The sequence below is a fragment of the Homo sapiens genome, chromosome 1, assembly GCF_000001405.40.
Source record: "Homo sapiens chromosome 1, GRCh38.p14 Primary Assembly".
NCBI classification, from domain to species: domain Eukaryota; kingdom Metazoa; phylum Chordata; class Mammalia; order Primates; family Hominidae; genus Homo; species Homo sapiens.
In genome coordinates this window covers 16,388,065-16,403,380 of record NC_000001.11, presented here as the reverse complement: position 1 = coordinate 16,403,380, position 15,316 = coordinate 16,388,065, and the positions used below count along the sequence as shown (strand labels likewise).

Below are 15,316 nucleotides of genomic sequence, written 5' to 3'. Positions count from 1 at the left end.
CAGTAAGGCTTTCTCTCTCCACCTATCCATGTCTGTGCGCACTGGCTTTGAGCTCAGCTAGGCTCTCCCTACAGAGGGAGGGATGGTAGCTGGCGGCCCCATGCTTACACCCTCCTAGTGCAGCAAGAGGAATTCTTTCCTGCAGCATGCACTGAGCAGTCCCAGGAAAGGAATTCGATGGACCCTATCTGGGTCAGAAGACACAAAAGCCTCCACGTGTCTCCAGGGCAGGTGGGTGGGTAGGTAGTGGTTCATCTAAGGAAGAGATAGCCATAGGTGAAACAACATGAACATTCCAGGGCTAGAAGCAAAGGCGAAGGCAGAACAGTCCAGCTGACCTTCAAATAGCAATTTCAGGCCCTCATGCCTCAGAGGAGCCCGAGCCTCCATTTCCTGTCTTTGAAATGAACATATTTTAATGCTTGTTGCTCAATAAATGCTAGCTTTCAGGAGAGGTGGCCGGGTCTCGCTCTGTCGCCCAGGCTGAAGTGTAGTGATACAATTACGACTCACTGCAGCCTTGACCTCCTGGGCTCAATCAATCCTCCCACCTCAGTTTCCCGAGTAGCTGGGATTACAGGCGCGTGCCACCATGCCCGGCTTCCCAAAGTGCTGGGATTACAGGCATGAGCCACCACATCCAGCCAAAAGGCACTTTGTTGCTGGGCAAGATGGTGTGTGCCTGTAGTCTAGCTACTCAGGAGGCTCAAGGGGAAGGGCTGCTTGAGCCCGGGAGTTCGAGGCTGCAGTGAGCCATGATGGCACCACTGCACTCCAGCCTTGGTGACAGAACGAAAGTCCATCTCTTAAAAAAAAGAAAAGCCAGGCATGGTGGCTCATGCCTGTAATCCCAGCACTTTGGGAGGCCGCGGTGGGCGGATCACAAGGTCAGGAGATCGAGAGCATCCTGGCTAACATGGTGAAACCTCGTCTCTACTGAAAATACAAAAAATTAGCTGGGCGTGGTGGCGGGTGCCTGTAATCCCAGCTACTCGGGAGGCTGAGGCAGGAGAATGACGTGAACCCAGGAGGCGGAGGTTGCAGTGAGCTGAGATGCCACCACTGCACTCCAGCCTGGGCAACAAGAGCGAAACTCCATCTCAAAAAAAAAAAAAAAAAAAAAAAAAAAAAGAATGGCAGCTCAGAACTGCCAGAAGAAAGGGAAAAGCCTGTATAGCTCATCTACTAACACCTTTGGCAAGGGTGCCCCACAGGTGCTTAACTCCCCGACACTTCTGGGTTGCACGTGTGTCAGAGAATCCCTGGGGCAGGAAGCAAGAGGCTCAGGCCTGAGGTGAGACCCGTAGGGTTGTCCCTGTGCAAAGCTAGTTGAAGCCTGTGTGAAAGTGGCCACTGCGGCACCCTTGGCCCACGGTGTTAGTAGACGGCTGGAGTAAGAGGTGCGGCTGAGGCTATGATACAGGGACCCTGTGTGGATGTCTCTTTCACTACTCTTTTCCAATCACTTAGAAGAGTGGCCAGGACACAGTGAACATTCAGTGAATACTTACTAAATGAATGATGTTGTAGTCTAGCGGGGGAAAAGGCAAGCAGTGAGTTAAGAAAATCAAGTGGGTTGCGGGCTATAATTGGGTAACTACAGGTTGCAGGGGGCCTCCAGCGGGAGCCTAGCTACTCTGTAGGGTAGGGGTGGGGATAGGACAGAGAAGATTTTCTGGAGCAGAGTCCTTAACTTGAAATCTGGAAGATGAGCAGGAGTTAATTGCACAGATAAGTACTTGCACATCTAAGTAAATGTATCAGTGATAAAATCATAGGTAATCATAGGTAATGCAGTGGCTCACGCCTGTAATCCCAACACTTTGGGAGGCCAAGGTGTAAGGATTGCTTGAGGCAAGGAGTTTGTGACCAGCCTGGGCAACACAGCGAGACCACGTCTCTACACAAAATAAAAAAATCAGCTGGGTGTGGTGGTTGGTGCCTATGGTCCCAACTACTCAAGAGGCTAGGGCAGGACGATCAGTTGAGCCCAGGAGTTTAAGGCTGTAGTGAGGCCATGTTCACGCCACTGCACTCCTGCCTGGGTAACAGAGTGAGACTCTGTCTCCCCGCCACGCCCCTCCCCAAAATAATAGGTAACATGTACAAAGCATTTTCCGTGTGCCAGACACCATGCTGCGTGCTTGATGGGCCTTGTTAATTCATCCTTGTTATTTAATCCTACGGCATGTGAACTGTCTGATCTGTTTTACCCAACGGAAACTTGAAGCTCAGAGAAGTCAAGTCACTTGCATTGACAGGGTAGAGAGAACCCCTTCCCTCCATTTTACACAGGGTGACTGAGGCCCAGAGCAGGGCAGTGACTTGCTCATGGTCACAGAAAGGGCTGAGCTGAGACTAGAAGCCAGGTTTCCTGACTCCTAGGCTTGTGTTCCTGCTCCAGAGCTGGCCAGAGAGATAGGGGCTGAGGAGGAGAAGGGTGAATTAAACACAGCCAGGCTGAGATGGGTGGGCACTGCCTCCCCAGCTACTACCAGAAAAAGCTGAAGGAAGGCACCTGCAAGGCCCAGGAGATGGAAGCGGCCGTAGGCCGGCTGCGGTTGCAGAAGCTTCCCTACAACCCCCAGCAAGAAGAGAGCTCAGAAGTTCCAGAACGAAAGGTCCTCAGTATCCTGAGCCGGCTGAAGCAGCAGAACTATGGTGAGGGCCCTGGGCAGGGTGGGATGGGCTAGGGTTGGGGCTTTGCTCTCTTGCCCATCTGGTCTCCTTTCCTTGGACCCTCAGGCAGCCAGGCCAAGGGAGCTGAGAGGCCAGTTTCCCACTTCGGGCTTAACTGTGTACATCAGAAAACAGGCTGATAATCACTATTTTCCATCCAGGCCTATGACAATGGCCTCCTGCGTTGGACTCCTCCCCTCCTGCCTTAGCCTGAGCACAGGTTGGTCCCATGAGCCAGGACTGAGAAAGAACAGCTGTAGAGATTAGCAATCCCAGCTCACTGTTTATTGAGTGCCCACTGTGCTAGGCCCTTTGCAGATGCTCTAGAATTTAATACTCATAATCATGTATTTACCCCATTTTACAGATTAGAAAAATGAAACTGACCCAGGCACAGTGGCTCACATCTGTAATCCCAGCACTTTGGGAGGCCGAGGTGGGCGGATCACCTGAGGTCAGAAGTTCGAGACCATCCTGGCCAACATGGTGAAACCCCATCTCTAAAAAATTAGCCAGGTGTGGTGGCGAGCACCGGTAATCCCAGCTACTCTGGAGGCTGAGGCTGGAGAATCGCTTGAACCCGGGAGATGGAGGTTGCAGTGAGCCGAGATCACGCCATTGCACTCCAGCCTGGGGGACAAGAGCAAAACTCTGTCTCAAAAAAAAAAACAAAAATGAAACTGATAAAGTTCAGCAATTTGCCCAATGCCCCTAACTAGTGTTTTGGAAAGGGGAGTTTATATCCAGGTCTGACCCCAAAATCTATGCTCTTTCCACTGGGCAAGCCTGCCTCCCTTCCCCCAGGTACCATTTATTAGACTCCTACTATGTGCCAAGTAACAGGATAGGAGCTTTGCAGTCTTTCTAGAGCATGCCTACTAGACTTTGCCAACACCCATCACAAAGTCCTCTGCTCCTTGTTAAGCTGTTACCAGCTCTTATTCTGTGTGCAGCACTGAGCTGAGTGCTTTGCATATATTTCTCCTTTAATCCTCATCATCAACTTTTGTGAGGTGGGTACCACTATCACCTCCAGCTCAGAAGCTTAGAGAGGTTAAGTGACTTGCCCCAAACCACTCAGGTCATTATGTAGCAACGCCAGGATTTCACTTGAATCTGCCTGCTTCCCAAGGCTGGGCATGCTGTGAAGCATTCCTCCTTCTGCCTCCTTCTTCACCAGCTCCCAACCTGCAGAGCCCCTATGCCCAGGTGCCCTGCATCCTGCTCTGCCCACAGCTGGACAAGAAGATGGTCCGTAGGCAGCCGAGCAACCACTATGCACTAGACCAGTGCACACCCCCTGGCCTGGATCCTGACATCCGCAGCCCCTTCTTCCAGTCAGGATCTCAAGGAAACAGGTGGGTGCCCAGAGAAAGGGTCCCAGCCCAGGCCCTTCCAGATTCTTCCTTAAGAGGCCCCTGGCCTAATGCCTGGGAATCCATCTTTCTAAGAGATCATACCTGAGAGGCTGCTTGCTCCAGGGAGGAGAAAGGGTAAAAGGCGAAGAAGACAAACCTTTGTTGAGGGCCTGTGTACCCAGCAGATTGTTCCACTGAAGCCAGAGTGCTTCTGCTTTCCTGTGTCCAGGACTCAGTGGCACCTAACTGAGTACTCTGAGTTCCCTATGGTTCCATATTAGGACTAGCAGACTGTGCACCTGGGCAGAGGGGAACGTCTCCTGCAGCAGTCCCCCTCCAGGCCGCTGGGGAAGGGAGCTCTGGACTTGGAATCAGGCCCCTAAGCACAACTGCTGGTTCCACCATTTCTGAGGGGAGGCCTCCTCTCTCTCCTCACTTGGGCACGCACAGATGGCTCATATACTGGCAGATAGGGAAAGGGCCACATGTCTCCCACCCTTCTGCCCTACTCCTCTCCCCAGGGAACACAACTCTGACAGCAGAAAGTGGCTCAGCTCTGTGCCAGCTCGAACCCACTGACCCTCTGGAGGCCTGACTCTAGGCAGCTGCTCAAGGCCTGTAGACAGATGGGCCACCAGGCAGGAGCTGCTGCTGGGATTTGCTTTTGTGGCCTGGTGAGCTAATAAACACCAATAACTTCAGCCTCTGTGCCTCTTGCCAAGAAAGGCCCTCAAGTTGTCACCCAGCCACCACTGGGCTCTCAGAGTGCAGGGTTCCACCTCAAAGCCCTGCGCGGGGTTGGGATTTCTGCTACAGGTGCCCCTGCGTGCAGTCTTGACCTTCTGTGCCTTCTCAAAGCACAGGGCTAGGCCTCTCCTCAGGTGAGCACATCCCCCTCTGGACTGGGAGCCCCACAAAAGCAGCCATTCTCTCTCTCCACTGGCTCTAAGACAGGCCCTGTGGAAGAGCAGGAGGTGGCCTCTGCATGCTCCCCCGACAGAGCCCCAGGACCCAGGGCTCTCATTCTCTGGGAGCCCCAAGAGGGGTGGGTCCTTTCCCCTCAACCCACATACCACCCGGCCTCGTGTTTTACCAAAGACAGTCTTTCCCTGGGACTGGGCAGAGGGAAATCCCCCAGGGTTAAATAAGCGGCCACAGCAAGAGGTAGAGGGCAGGGACTGAAATGAGGACAAAGATCTGACAAGTTTAAAACATGTATTTAAAATACAATTTATAAAATGCTTAATCTGCCGACTCAGGAGCCCGCGGTGCAGGGTGGGGTGGGAGTGGGCAGCTGCCCGCTACACCAGCAGAGTAAGACTGCAGGGGTGCAGCCCTCCCTCCCATGCCCTTCTGTTCAGACACCCAAGGGGCCCATGTGCACCCCTGGGATCACACGACCAGAAAACAGGACCCCAGAGGTTTCTTGAGTCTCTGCTTACCAGGGAGGCTGGGTACAGCCCTGCCAGCCCATCCCTGAGCAGGGCACCCCCAGATGGGGCAGAGCAGGGTATGGCTGGGCAGGGCAGGGCTGGGCGGGGCAGATGGGCTCTGGAAGGGGCTGATGGTAGCAGATAGGGTGTTGCCTCCTGCCTGCAGGTGGGGAGCACCCTGATTGAGTGGGCTGAGAAAGGTTGGTCACCAGGCCTGGACCCCCCAGCTCCTTTGGTTATAGGCTGACATCAGAGTAGTGGCTCATGGGAAGCGGTTAGCTGGAAGGTCTGAGGCCTGGCCCATGGGGTCAGGGAGGAGCTGGGGGAAGGGGACAGTACCGTGAAGGCAGATAAAGGGGCAGCAGCCTCAGGTTTCTGCCCCCCATCCCCCTGGGGTTTTCCAAGCCAAAGCCTGCAACTTACTTTAAAAAAGAAAAGGAAAAAAAGCACTTAGGAAAGTTACAGACAACTACCCCCAAAAAATACCCTCCCACACACAAAATCCAAACCGTTTCCTCATCTCCCTCCCGCCTCCCCCGACACAATACAGTTTCCTGTTTTCTTTCTTTTTAAAAACGTTGCCTGCTACCTCTCCATTTGGGAAGCCCAGGGCATGACTGCTGGTGGGTGGTGACAGGCACACAGCGGGCAAAGCCCATCTTTGGCCAGAGGGAGGTGGGAGGACCAGTCCCTGCCACATCCTCAATCCACAGACACCCACCAGCCAGCCTTTACTTTGGCCTCCCACTAGAGGGTAGTGGGGCAAGAACAGGTGGTCCCAATGGCTGGGCAATCAGCACTTCTGGCGTTCCCACCTGGACTACCTCTATACCCTTCTCCAATTAAAAGGAAAGTCTCACTTTGGGCGGGAAACCACTATTACATAAGGGATGGACACTACACATTTAGAATGTGGACACTTGGTTAGGGCAGTGGAACTATAAAGATAGCAGCCAGTTTTCTTCCTTGCCTTCTCCTGAAGGTAATCCTCCCTCTTACTGACTGAAGCTCTGGTTCCAGCTCTGCTCATGGGCAATGCCTGGCTTTACAGTTATAAGGCTGTGCTATGGACTAGCTGCTGACTCAGCTGGCAGCTGGCCCTTCCTCCGGAGGAGAGGACGTGTTGGGGCATGGCTTACTGGGCCTGGCCTACCATTCCCACAGGGAACCAACGAGGGAGTGAGCCTGTGAGACTCAGCTTGCCACCTTGGCCACCACGTGCTGCCCTCATCACAAAAACCACACCAACCACTCCGAAACGTATCTGCTGGTCAGGAGCAGGGAGGCTGTCTGGCTGGCTGAGGGATAAGGCGCAGTGCAACGGAAGGGATCAGGAAGCCTGAGAGGAGCCAGGTACACACAGCTGCTCTGGGCAGCTGCCCTCTTAGTCTCTTCCACCTCAAGGAGCCAAAGCAAACCCCAGGCTCCAGGGACAGAGGATAAACTGCCTTCATTCCAGGCCCTCGCTCTGGAAAAAGGGGTGACGGGTAGCCTAGGCCTCTGAGGAACCAGTCTGTCATCAATCTTTGCAAAGCAAAGCTGTTCTTTTTCCAACTTTATTCAGAATGTTCTGCCTTCAAGGTACTGATTGCACACAGGAAATGTACCAGGTATAGTTACTGAGCTGGGGCCACCAATGGAGATGGAGCACTGCAGACCCCTAAGAGTTCAAGCCATGCTGGAGTGGGAAGACCTATCCACCTTCTGAACATACGAGGCAGAAGGCTCAGAGTCCTGGAGGCAGACTCTCTCCTGGTTTTCCTTGTGCTGATGGCAAAATACTAAACAAGTCTTCTCTCCGTCACTTCTAAGCCCAGGGATGCAATCTCACTCCCTGGCACTCTGCTTTCTTCTAGAAGTAGTAAGCCTGGCTGGTAGGGAACCACCCTGAGGGGTATGGGAAGGGGAAGTCGGTTCACTTTCCCTATCTCCCAAAATACTAGAGGTGGGGTTGGCACCCTCCCCAGGCTCTCCGAGCCTACAGAGCTAGCCCAGTCTCCAGGCAAGGCCCAGATGCCCTGGGACTTAGCTCGGGGAGGGAGGTATAGGCATGGGGTGCTCGTCTGTCCTGGCGGCTGCAGAGCCCTGCCCCTTTTCTGGGCGGCAGTAGGAATACAGAAGCTAAGCTCACCAAAATCCTATTGGTTAATGTTTCTAGTGAATTTCCCAGAAACATTTTTAAGTAGACTACCAAACTACCCTTTCTTAATTAAAAATTCATTAAACCACTAAAACCCCTCCCATGCACTTTTTCTTGCAAATCAGATATTTGTATAAACAAACAAAAATAGGAAGAAAAAAAAAAGAAAGGATATTTTCAAATGGAACTTACTTTTTAAGTGATGGAGACATGCACTTGGGGGTGGGTGGGTGTGAGTTTTCATTTGTGTTTTGAAATCCCAAATTAATGAGCATGATAAACTGTTATTGCTGGCACTGGCTTTACCCCAAGTGGCCAAGTGGCACTGTCTGACTCTCTGAGTCCTTGCTGGGTCCCCCCAACCTTCCCCTAACCCCCACCCTTTCCCTTTCCATTGACTTGGGACAGCCCTTGTCGATGTGCCAATCACAGTGGGAAGGGGGAGAAGGGGGGAGGTCACAGTGCATGGGGTTCAAGGTCACAGTGGGCGGAGCAAGGGGGATCACAGTGCAAGTAAGTCAGGTCGTTCCCTCTGCTCAAGTCCAGCTGTCTGCCACGGCAGTGCAACCCGTGGCGGACGACCCAGGAGGCGGTGACGGCAGCAACGGCGGCATCTTTTCTTGCCTGCATTTATCTGCGCTGTTTGAAGCCTTGAGACCCATCAGGACCCAAAGGCTGTCTGATCACATTATTGGGCTGCCTGCTGTCTTCGGGTTGGGAGATCCTGGTTGGCCTGAAAGGAAGAAAAGCAGAGGAAGGCCTGAAGAAGGATATAATAGATGTCCCCCATCATTTCTTTATTTTTTATTTATTTTTGAGACGGAGTCTCATTCTGTCACCTAGATTGGAGTGCAGTGGCACGATCTCCGCTCACTGCAACCCCCACCTCCTGAGTTCAAGTGATCCTCCTACCTCAGCCTACCGAGTAGCTGGGACTACAGGCATATGCTACCACACCCAGCTAATTTTTGTAATTTTAGTAGAGATGGGGTTTCACCATGTCGGCCAGGCTGGTCTTGAACTCCTGACCTCAAGTGATCCGTCCACCTCGGCCTCTCAAAGTACTGGGATTACTGCACCTGGCCTAGATGTCCCCCATCTTAAAATCAACTGTCCATATAGCTGGGCCCACGTCACTCTGGCTCCGCAAGCCTGCTTCTTTGGGAAGCTGACTCAGGGCACCTCCAAGTTGAGAGGCCCCTGTGAGCAGGCAGGGTCGGTGGTGCACATTCACCTCTAGCAGCTACAGCATCCTTTCCCCCTGCTCAGCTGCCATCATGCACTTGTAGGCAGGGGGAGTGCTTGAGGGCCCACTCTGCCCAGAGGCAGTGACCATGGATAGCACATGCTCCGCAGAACCATTTGGAATCTCCAGAGTGTTAGGCCAAAGTAAAGAACTGGAATCAAGAGCTCAGCAGAGGGACACATCCCCCGCCCCCCAATTCTTCCCTCCCACTCCTCTCCAAACTCTGCGGTTAACGGTTGACTCATATGACTATTTTTCCACCCTGGAAAGGTGAAGACTTAGAGGAGAAACAACAAAAAGAACAGGTATCTCTTCAAAATTATGAAGAGCTAGAAAGAAGGTACGCAGATTTTTTCTTCAAGTCCCAGAATACCAAACCATAGCAGCCCCTCAAAGTTAGAAGGAGGCCATCTTAATGAATACTGTTTGATTCGAAAGTGATAAACTTATATGATGCAACCTTTAATACTGCAGAGAAAAAAATGTTAAGAGTAAAAAGGAATTTAGAAAATTCACAAAAACATCACAGTGGGCATACTGGAGACCCAGAAAATATCATCAAAGCACTTATCTGGGGTACTTTCCACTCTGCCAGCCCAGGCTCTCCACATCCTATGCTCATTTACTCACTGAATTGCACAACACCTTGATAAGGTTGGTACTATTATTATCCCATTTTTTCAGATGAGAAAACTAAGGCCCAGAGAGGTCAAGTCGTTCTAAAGAAGAGGTAAGAGGCAGATTTTGACACAAGCTCATCTGTGCCTTCACTCTCTACACAACAGTGCCCCCGGTGACTACCAACCGCAGAGGGAGCATGCCAGCAAACTGCCACCTCCTCCCTGGCAAGGCTTTCAGAGCCCTCTCCAGCCAATGCGGCACAGTGAACTAGTGCCAGCAGGCTGGGATCAGCAAGTGGAGCTGCATGGTTCCTACCCTGACTCTGCTTGCTTCTCACTACTCTACACGCAGCCAGGATGCTCTCCTCTTCCCGGGTGGACTGGGACAGCCATCACTGGCCGGCCCTGCCAGCCACACTCACCTGTCGAGGATGGGTTTCTCCTGCTCCTCCTCGGGGCTGGCGCTGCCCAGGATCCGCTTCCGGGCCTCGGCGTACTCGGCCTCTCGCTGTGCTAGGGACTTGACTGGAAGGGTGGGCCTGCTGGTGGAGTTGGGGCTGCTGACCACACCGTTGCTGGTGGGCCTCTTGAGGATGCGGATCTGTGGAGGGGGCCCCGCGGGAAGGCTATCGTCCTGAATCACAATGGGCACTTTGGGAGGAGATTTGGATTTCCTGCTGACAAAGAGCAAACACAGCTTCACAAATCATGCTCCTGACTAAGGAGGCCCTGTCCATGTCCCACACCCACCTCTCATCACTTTCCTCTCCCTCCCTAATTCTACCCATGCATGATTCTCTGGCCTCTGACCAGACAGCAAAATTTCCACTCCTCAAGAAGGGTGTCCCAAAAAAGTAAGCTTGCGACCAGCTCTGACAGGCCACAGGAACTGCTCCTCAGCCCTAACCCCTGGCCACAGGGGCTGGAACGCCACCTCATTCTGGCACTTCTATCCCCATGTTCACCACAGCCACATCAACCACTATTTGGCCCTGCAGCAAAACAGTTTATGTCCAGAATTGAATGACGTCAGTTAAGATCCCAGCTTCTCTACGCAGATCAGAGTAGGACTGGCTGGTGGGGTGGGAGCCTTTGAACTTGGGGGTCAGCAGTGTTCACTCAGCCAAATCTTCCATCACATGCTCAAACCAGACAAACACTACAAAGGAGCCCACTACGCCATCCCTGCCTGGCATCAAGATTTACCAAGCCACCTTCTAGTGAGAGTGACCTGTGCCTCCCAGAGACAAGCTACACCAGACAACTGAATCCTCTTCAAAAAGCTTCTGAACAGAGAAACCTCCCTTGCCAGGGCTCCCTGGTCTTTTGGACAGCGGCGGGGCTGGAGTGAAGGATGCTCCTAGAAACAGTGCTTGGCAATGCTCAAAAGAAAAGCATTGTCCAAGGCTGGTGGACGCGTACATCAAGGCGATGTGTCCACAGGGAGAGGTGGAATGACAAAAAACAAAGAGGGACAACAACACAGGAAGGGAAAGAAACAAAAGCCACAGGAGGAGACAGGAACCCAGGCAGGAATGACCACCCGACAACAGCCACCAGGACCCTACCCAGAGCAGTCAACCAGCTTCTCTTCAGAACCAAACAAGCCTGCTTCCAGAGCCTTGGCTGTCAGGAGGAGTCGGGATTGGAGGAACTGAGCCAGGGTGGATGGAAACAAGTCTCGGGTAGGACACAAATGGTATGGAACGAGGACTGTAACCCAGGGTTAGCGTGGTTGCTGAGATGAGCAGACAGACAAGGAGCCAGCAATCTGATCAAAGAGGCAGGGAGCCAGGAAAACTAGCGGGCGGGCAGAGCACCCAGAGTTTCCTGGGGAATGACTGTGCAGCCCCGTGAGCAAATCCAGAGGGGCCCTATCCTCCTTCCTGTCCCTTGTACCTATGGAAAACCAACAGGTTCCCTAAGCCCAAAAGCAGAAAGCCGAAGTCAACTTTCACCTACTCTGGAAACACCCTCCTCTGTCGTCTAGGTGGAAAACAAAGCTATTTTTAAAGGTTTTTTCAAGAATTTCCTAGAATGTTTTCTTCCAGGATACCCTCATAATACCCTAGACCACCAAGTCACTGGGGACCCAGAGAAATCATCTGCCCACACTCCTCATGCCACAGAGAAAGAAACTGATGTCCAGATCTGGGAAATGACTTGCCCCAGACCTCAGAGCAACTGGGGCACTGCCAGGCCTAAAACTCAAGTCTTCCAACTTGTCACTTCCTCACATTGCATCAGATGACCTCACACAGGGAGCCCACGAAGGTCAGAGGCAGGTGCAACACCCCAGCCTCAACCCTAAAGCCTCAAGCCACCACGTCCTGGTCTCCAATTTGGAGGGAAGGGTTTGCTGCCCCAGAGCCTGACCTGCTAGGACCTGCTAATCCTAATGGCCAGCTGGAGAACACCACTGACTGCCCGGCTCTCAAACCACAGAGAGCATGAGCCCTCAGACCAGACAGCAGCCTTACCTCTCTTTTTGTGTGATCTTCAGTTTTTTTTCCAACCGTCTGTCTATTTCCTAGAGGAAAAAAATGTATATAAAAAGAGGAAAAAATCTCTCTCAAATAAAAACTTAGTCTTTATTTTTGGAGCTAAGGGCAGTGTCCTTTCTCTAGCCAGGGACATGACTGTGTCCTTCAACATAACAAATGTGGACTAGATTTTGGGGTTTGGGGACCTGATACCCTCTGCAGGTCCATCTCCCTTCTAGCCCCATGGCCGCCATGACAGTTCTAAACCTCATTGTTCAGCTGGGTTCTTTGCATAGCCTCCAACCAGTTTTCTGACCTGTAATCTGTCTTTCACAGAGCCACTCATATCAACTTCTAAACCTAAACTTAGGAACACTTACTCTATTTTATGAAATAAAGAGTTGGAAAAAAAATTAAACATAAATCTGATCATGTCACTTCCCTACTTTAAACCCTTCAACTGCTTGCAGACCTAGTCAAAGCTTCTGAGCATGCCTCACCCATACCTTCTTTTACCTTCTGTCTCTGTTTTGCTATCACTAGCCCCCAGAACTCAGCATGCTGTTCCACCTGCCTGCAATGTCCCCTCCCCTTGCAAACTCCCATTGATCCTGCACAACCCAGCCTGGATGTCTACCTCTCCTTTATAAAGTCTCCTCTGATCCCACCAGCATGGTGCATCACCTGGTCCTCAGAATAAACTCTCCCTTTTACATTCCTTTATGGTCATATCTAATATTTTAATAATGTATTTTTTACTGTTACGGACTTGAACTCTCTGTGACTGGCACCTACCGAAAGGCTTAGAGTAAAACCTATGCCTTATGTTTGTGGCTTTGGAGGTCCATGGTCTACAAGTGAACATGGGGAACCTGAGGAAGAGACAAGACACCTGAGAGTGCAGCAAGTATTTCTCTCAGAACCAGAGCCTGACAGGTCTTGATTAAAACAACACCACCATTTTAGAGAAAAGCAGAGAGAAGAAAGAGGCTGAGAAGGAGGAGCAGGCAGGACTGCCTTCCAACACGCCCTGGCCTCATCTCTTCAAGCCCTGAGCAGGACATTGGGCTCATGGCAGTCTGAGCCCTCAGCCCATCAGCACCAGCATGCCTATGACACCTCCACACACGCGTGTGAGCATCTATATCCAGGACAGGGGTGTGGGGAGAGGCCGTGCACAGAACAAAGACCAAACCCCCAGGCTGCTTGGCTGCCCTACGGCCTTTCTTAGAAAAAGTCCCACTCCCTCAGCCATCCTCAGTGAGGACAAGATCAACTAGCTCTAATGGAGATGGAAGAAACTGTATGCAAAATTCTGTGTTTTTCTAGAGACAAGATCTCTAATGGTGGTTCTCAACCAGATAAGATTCTGTCCCTCAGGGGACACTGGACAATGTCAAGCCATTTTTGGTTGCCACTATTGGGGAAATGCTAAATGTCCTACAGTGTACAGGACAGCCCCACACAAAGAACTATTTAACCCCAAAAGTCAACAGTGCTAAGTCTGGGCAACCTTAATTTATTAGACTGGGATTTTCAAAGAAGTCCATCACTTGCAAAATGTGAAGAACCACAGCCGTAGTGTGGAGACTTTGAAATTTGGTGAGATCTGCCCCATGGCTCAGCATGTAGGCCATTTTCGTAAGTGCTCTGTATGTTCTGAAAATAACTATTCTCAGCCCAGCGCGGTGGCTCACGCCTATAATCCCAGCACTTTGGGAGGCCGAGGCGGGCGGATCACGAGGGCAGGAGATTGAGACCATCCTGGCTAACGCGGTGAAACCCCGTCTCTAATAAAAATACAAAAAATTGGCCAGGCACGGTGGCTCACGCCTGCAATGCCAGCACTTTGGGAGGCCGAGGTGGGCGGATCACGAGGTCAGGAGATCGAGACCATCCTGGCTAACACAGTGGAAACCCCATCTCTACTAAACATACAAAAAAAAAAAAAATTAGCCAGGCGTTGTGGCGGGCGCCTGTAGTCCCAGCTACTCAGAAGGCTGAGGCAGGACGCCTGTAGTCCCAGCTACTCAGAAGGCTGAGGCAGGAGAATGGCGTGAACCCGGGAGGCGAAGCTTGCAGTGAGCCGAGATGGCGCCACTGCACTCCAGCCTGGGCGACAGAGCAAGACTCTGCCCCCCCCCCACCCCCCCTCAAAAAAATACAAAAAATTAGCCGGGCGTGGTGGTGGGTGCCTGTAGTCCCAGCTACTCGGGAGGCTGAGGCAGGAGGATGGCGTGAACCTGGGAGGTGGAGCTTGCAGTGAGCTGAGATCGTGCCACTGCACTCCAGCCTGGGCGACAGAGCGAGACTCTGTCTCAAAAAAAAAAAAAAAAAAAAAGGAAATAACTATTCTCCAGTTGATGGGTGCAGTTCAAAGTTCAAGCTGGTTAGCTATATTGTTCTAATCTTGTAAATTCTTACTGACTCATTTGATCTACTGACCAGGTAAAGAATTAAGAATTATTGGCCAGGCACAGTGACAGTGGCTTATGCCTGTAATCCCAACATTTTGGGAGGCTGAGGCAGGCGGATCACTTGGGGTCAGGAGTTTGTGACCAGTTTGGCAACAGGGTGAAAACCTGTTTCTATTTAAAAATTCAACAATTATCCAGGCGTGGTGGTGCGCACATGTAATCCCAGCTACTAGGGAGGCTGCAGTGAGTGGAGATCACACCACTGCACTCCAGCCTGGGCGACAGGGCAAGACTCTGTCTCAAAAAAAAAAAAAAAAAAAAAAAAAGACTTATTCTTTCTAGTAAGTTAAACAGTGTATCATTATGATGTGATCTTTTTTGCCTTATAATGTATTGTTTCATATTAATAAAGTTGGCCAGCTTTCTTTTGGTCAGTATTTCCTAGAACATAGTTTTTCTCACCTTTCCATGTCCTTATTTGCATCTCTTGTAAACAGTATGAACTAGATTAACCATATGAAACTAGATTTAAATCTAGTCTAACACTGACACCTATCCTGATTGGTACTAACTTGTGTTTAAAATATATTTATATATTTGGCTGGGCATGGTAGCTCACGCCTACAATCCTAGCACTTTGACTTTGGGAGGCCGAGGTGGGTGAATCACTTGAGGTCAGGAGTTCAAGACCAGCCTGGTCAACAAGGTGAAACCCCGTCTCTACTAAAAATACAAAAATTAGCTGGGCGTGGTATCCCAGCTACTCAGGAGGCTGAGGCAGGAGAATCTCTTGAACCTGGGAGACGGAGGTTGCAGTGAGCCGAGATTATGCCACTGCACTCCTGCCTGGGCAATAGAGCATGACTCTGTCTCAAAATATATATATATATGTAATTTATTGTATTCTGAGGCACCATCAAATCTCTGGAGGGGCCAGAAA

At 51.3% G+C, this 15,316-nt stretch overlaps 2 protein-coding genes across 16 annotated transcripts in view, besides 2 other annotated features; one reads left to right on the top strand and one right to left on the bottom strand.

Moving 5' to 3' along the window:
* SPATA21 (spermatogenesis associated 21) overlaps positions 1-7,704 on the top strand; it is a 42,166-nt gene extending 34,462 nt beyond the window's left edge. For 4 of the 10 annotated variants that reach the window (XM_011541407.4, NM_001353349.1, NM_198546.1 and 1 more), the window contains 3 exons: positions 2,489-2,661; positions 3,860-4,037; positions 4,559-4,738. In XM_011541407.4, coding sequence (XP_011539709.1) covers positions 2,489-2,661; positions 3,860-4,037; positions 4,559-4,616 — 409 coding nt within the window. In that variant the 3' untranslated portion in view covers positions 4,617-4,738. Of the gene's footprint in view, positions 1-2,488; positions 2,662-2,745; positions 2,936-3,859; positions 4,038-4,558; positions 4,739-6,634; positions 6,824-7,068 lie in introns of those variants that run through there. The other 6 variants (NR_148413.2, XR_946645.2, XR_001737156.2 and 3 more) reach the window with 6 other exon arrangements.
* Positions 1,791-1,966: a silencer, noted in NCBI's record as "fragment chr1:16727910-16728085 (GRCh37/hg19 assembly coordinates)". NCBI's record gives its function as "represses an EF-1alpha promoter that drives an FKBP-Casp9 reporter gene in an ReSE screen in K562 erythroleukemia cells {active_cell/tissue: K562}" and the evidence as "EXISTENCE:reporter gene assay evidence [ECO:0000049][PMID:32094911]".
* Positions 5,236-15,316, bottom strand: part of SZRD1 (SUZ RNA binding domain containing 1) — a 30,904-nt gene continuing 20,823 nt past the window's right edge. For 2 of the 6 annotated variants that reach the window (NR_073501.2, NM_001114600.3), the window contains 3 exons: positions 11,957-12,006; positions 9,899-10,153; positions 5,236-8,343 (listed from right to left, as the gene is read on the bottom strand). Coding sequence is in view for 2 of the 6 variants with exons in the window: in NM_001114600.3 (NP_001108072.1) it covers positions 8,241-8,343; positions 9,899-10,153; positions 11,957-12,006 (408 nt within the window). In the remaining 4 variants the exon portion in view is untranslated. The remainder of the gene's footprint in view (positions 8,344-9,898; positions 10,154-11,956; positions 12,007-15,316) is intronic. The other 4 variants (NM_001271869.2, NR_073502.2, NR_073503.2 and 1 more) reach the window with 4 other exon arrangements.
* Positions 9,457-10,363: an enhancer, noted in NCBI's record as "H3K4me1 hESC enhancer chr1:16719513-16720419 (GRCh37/hg19 assembly coordinates)". NCBI's record gives its function as "activates a minimal SCP1, AML or CMV promoter by ChIP-STARR-seq in naive H9 embryonic stem cells {active_cell/tissue: H9 hESC(naive)}" and the evidence as "EXISTENCE:reporter gene assay evidence [ECO:0000049][PMID:30033119]".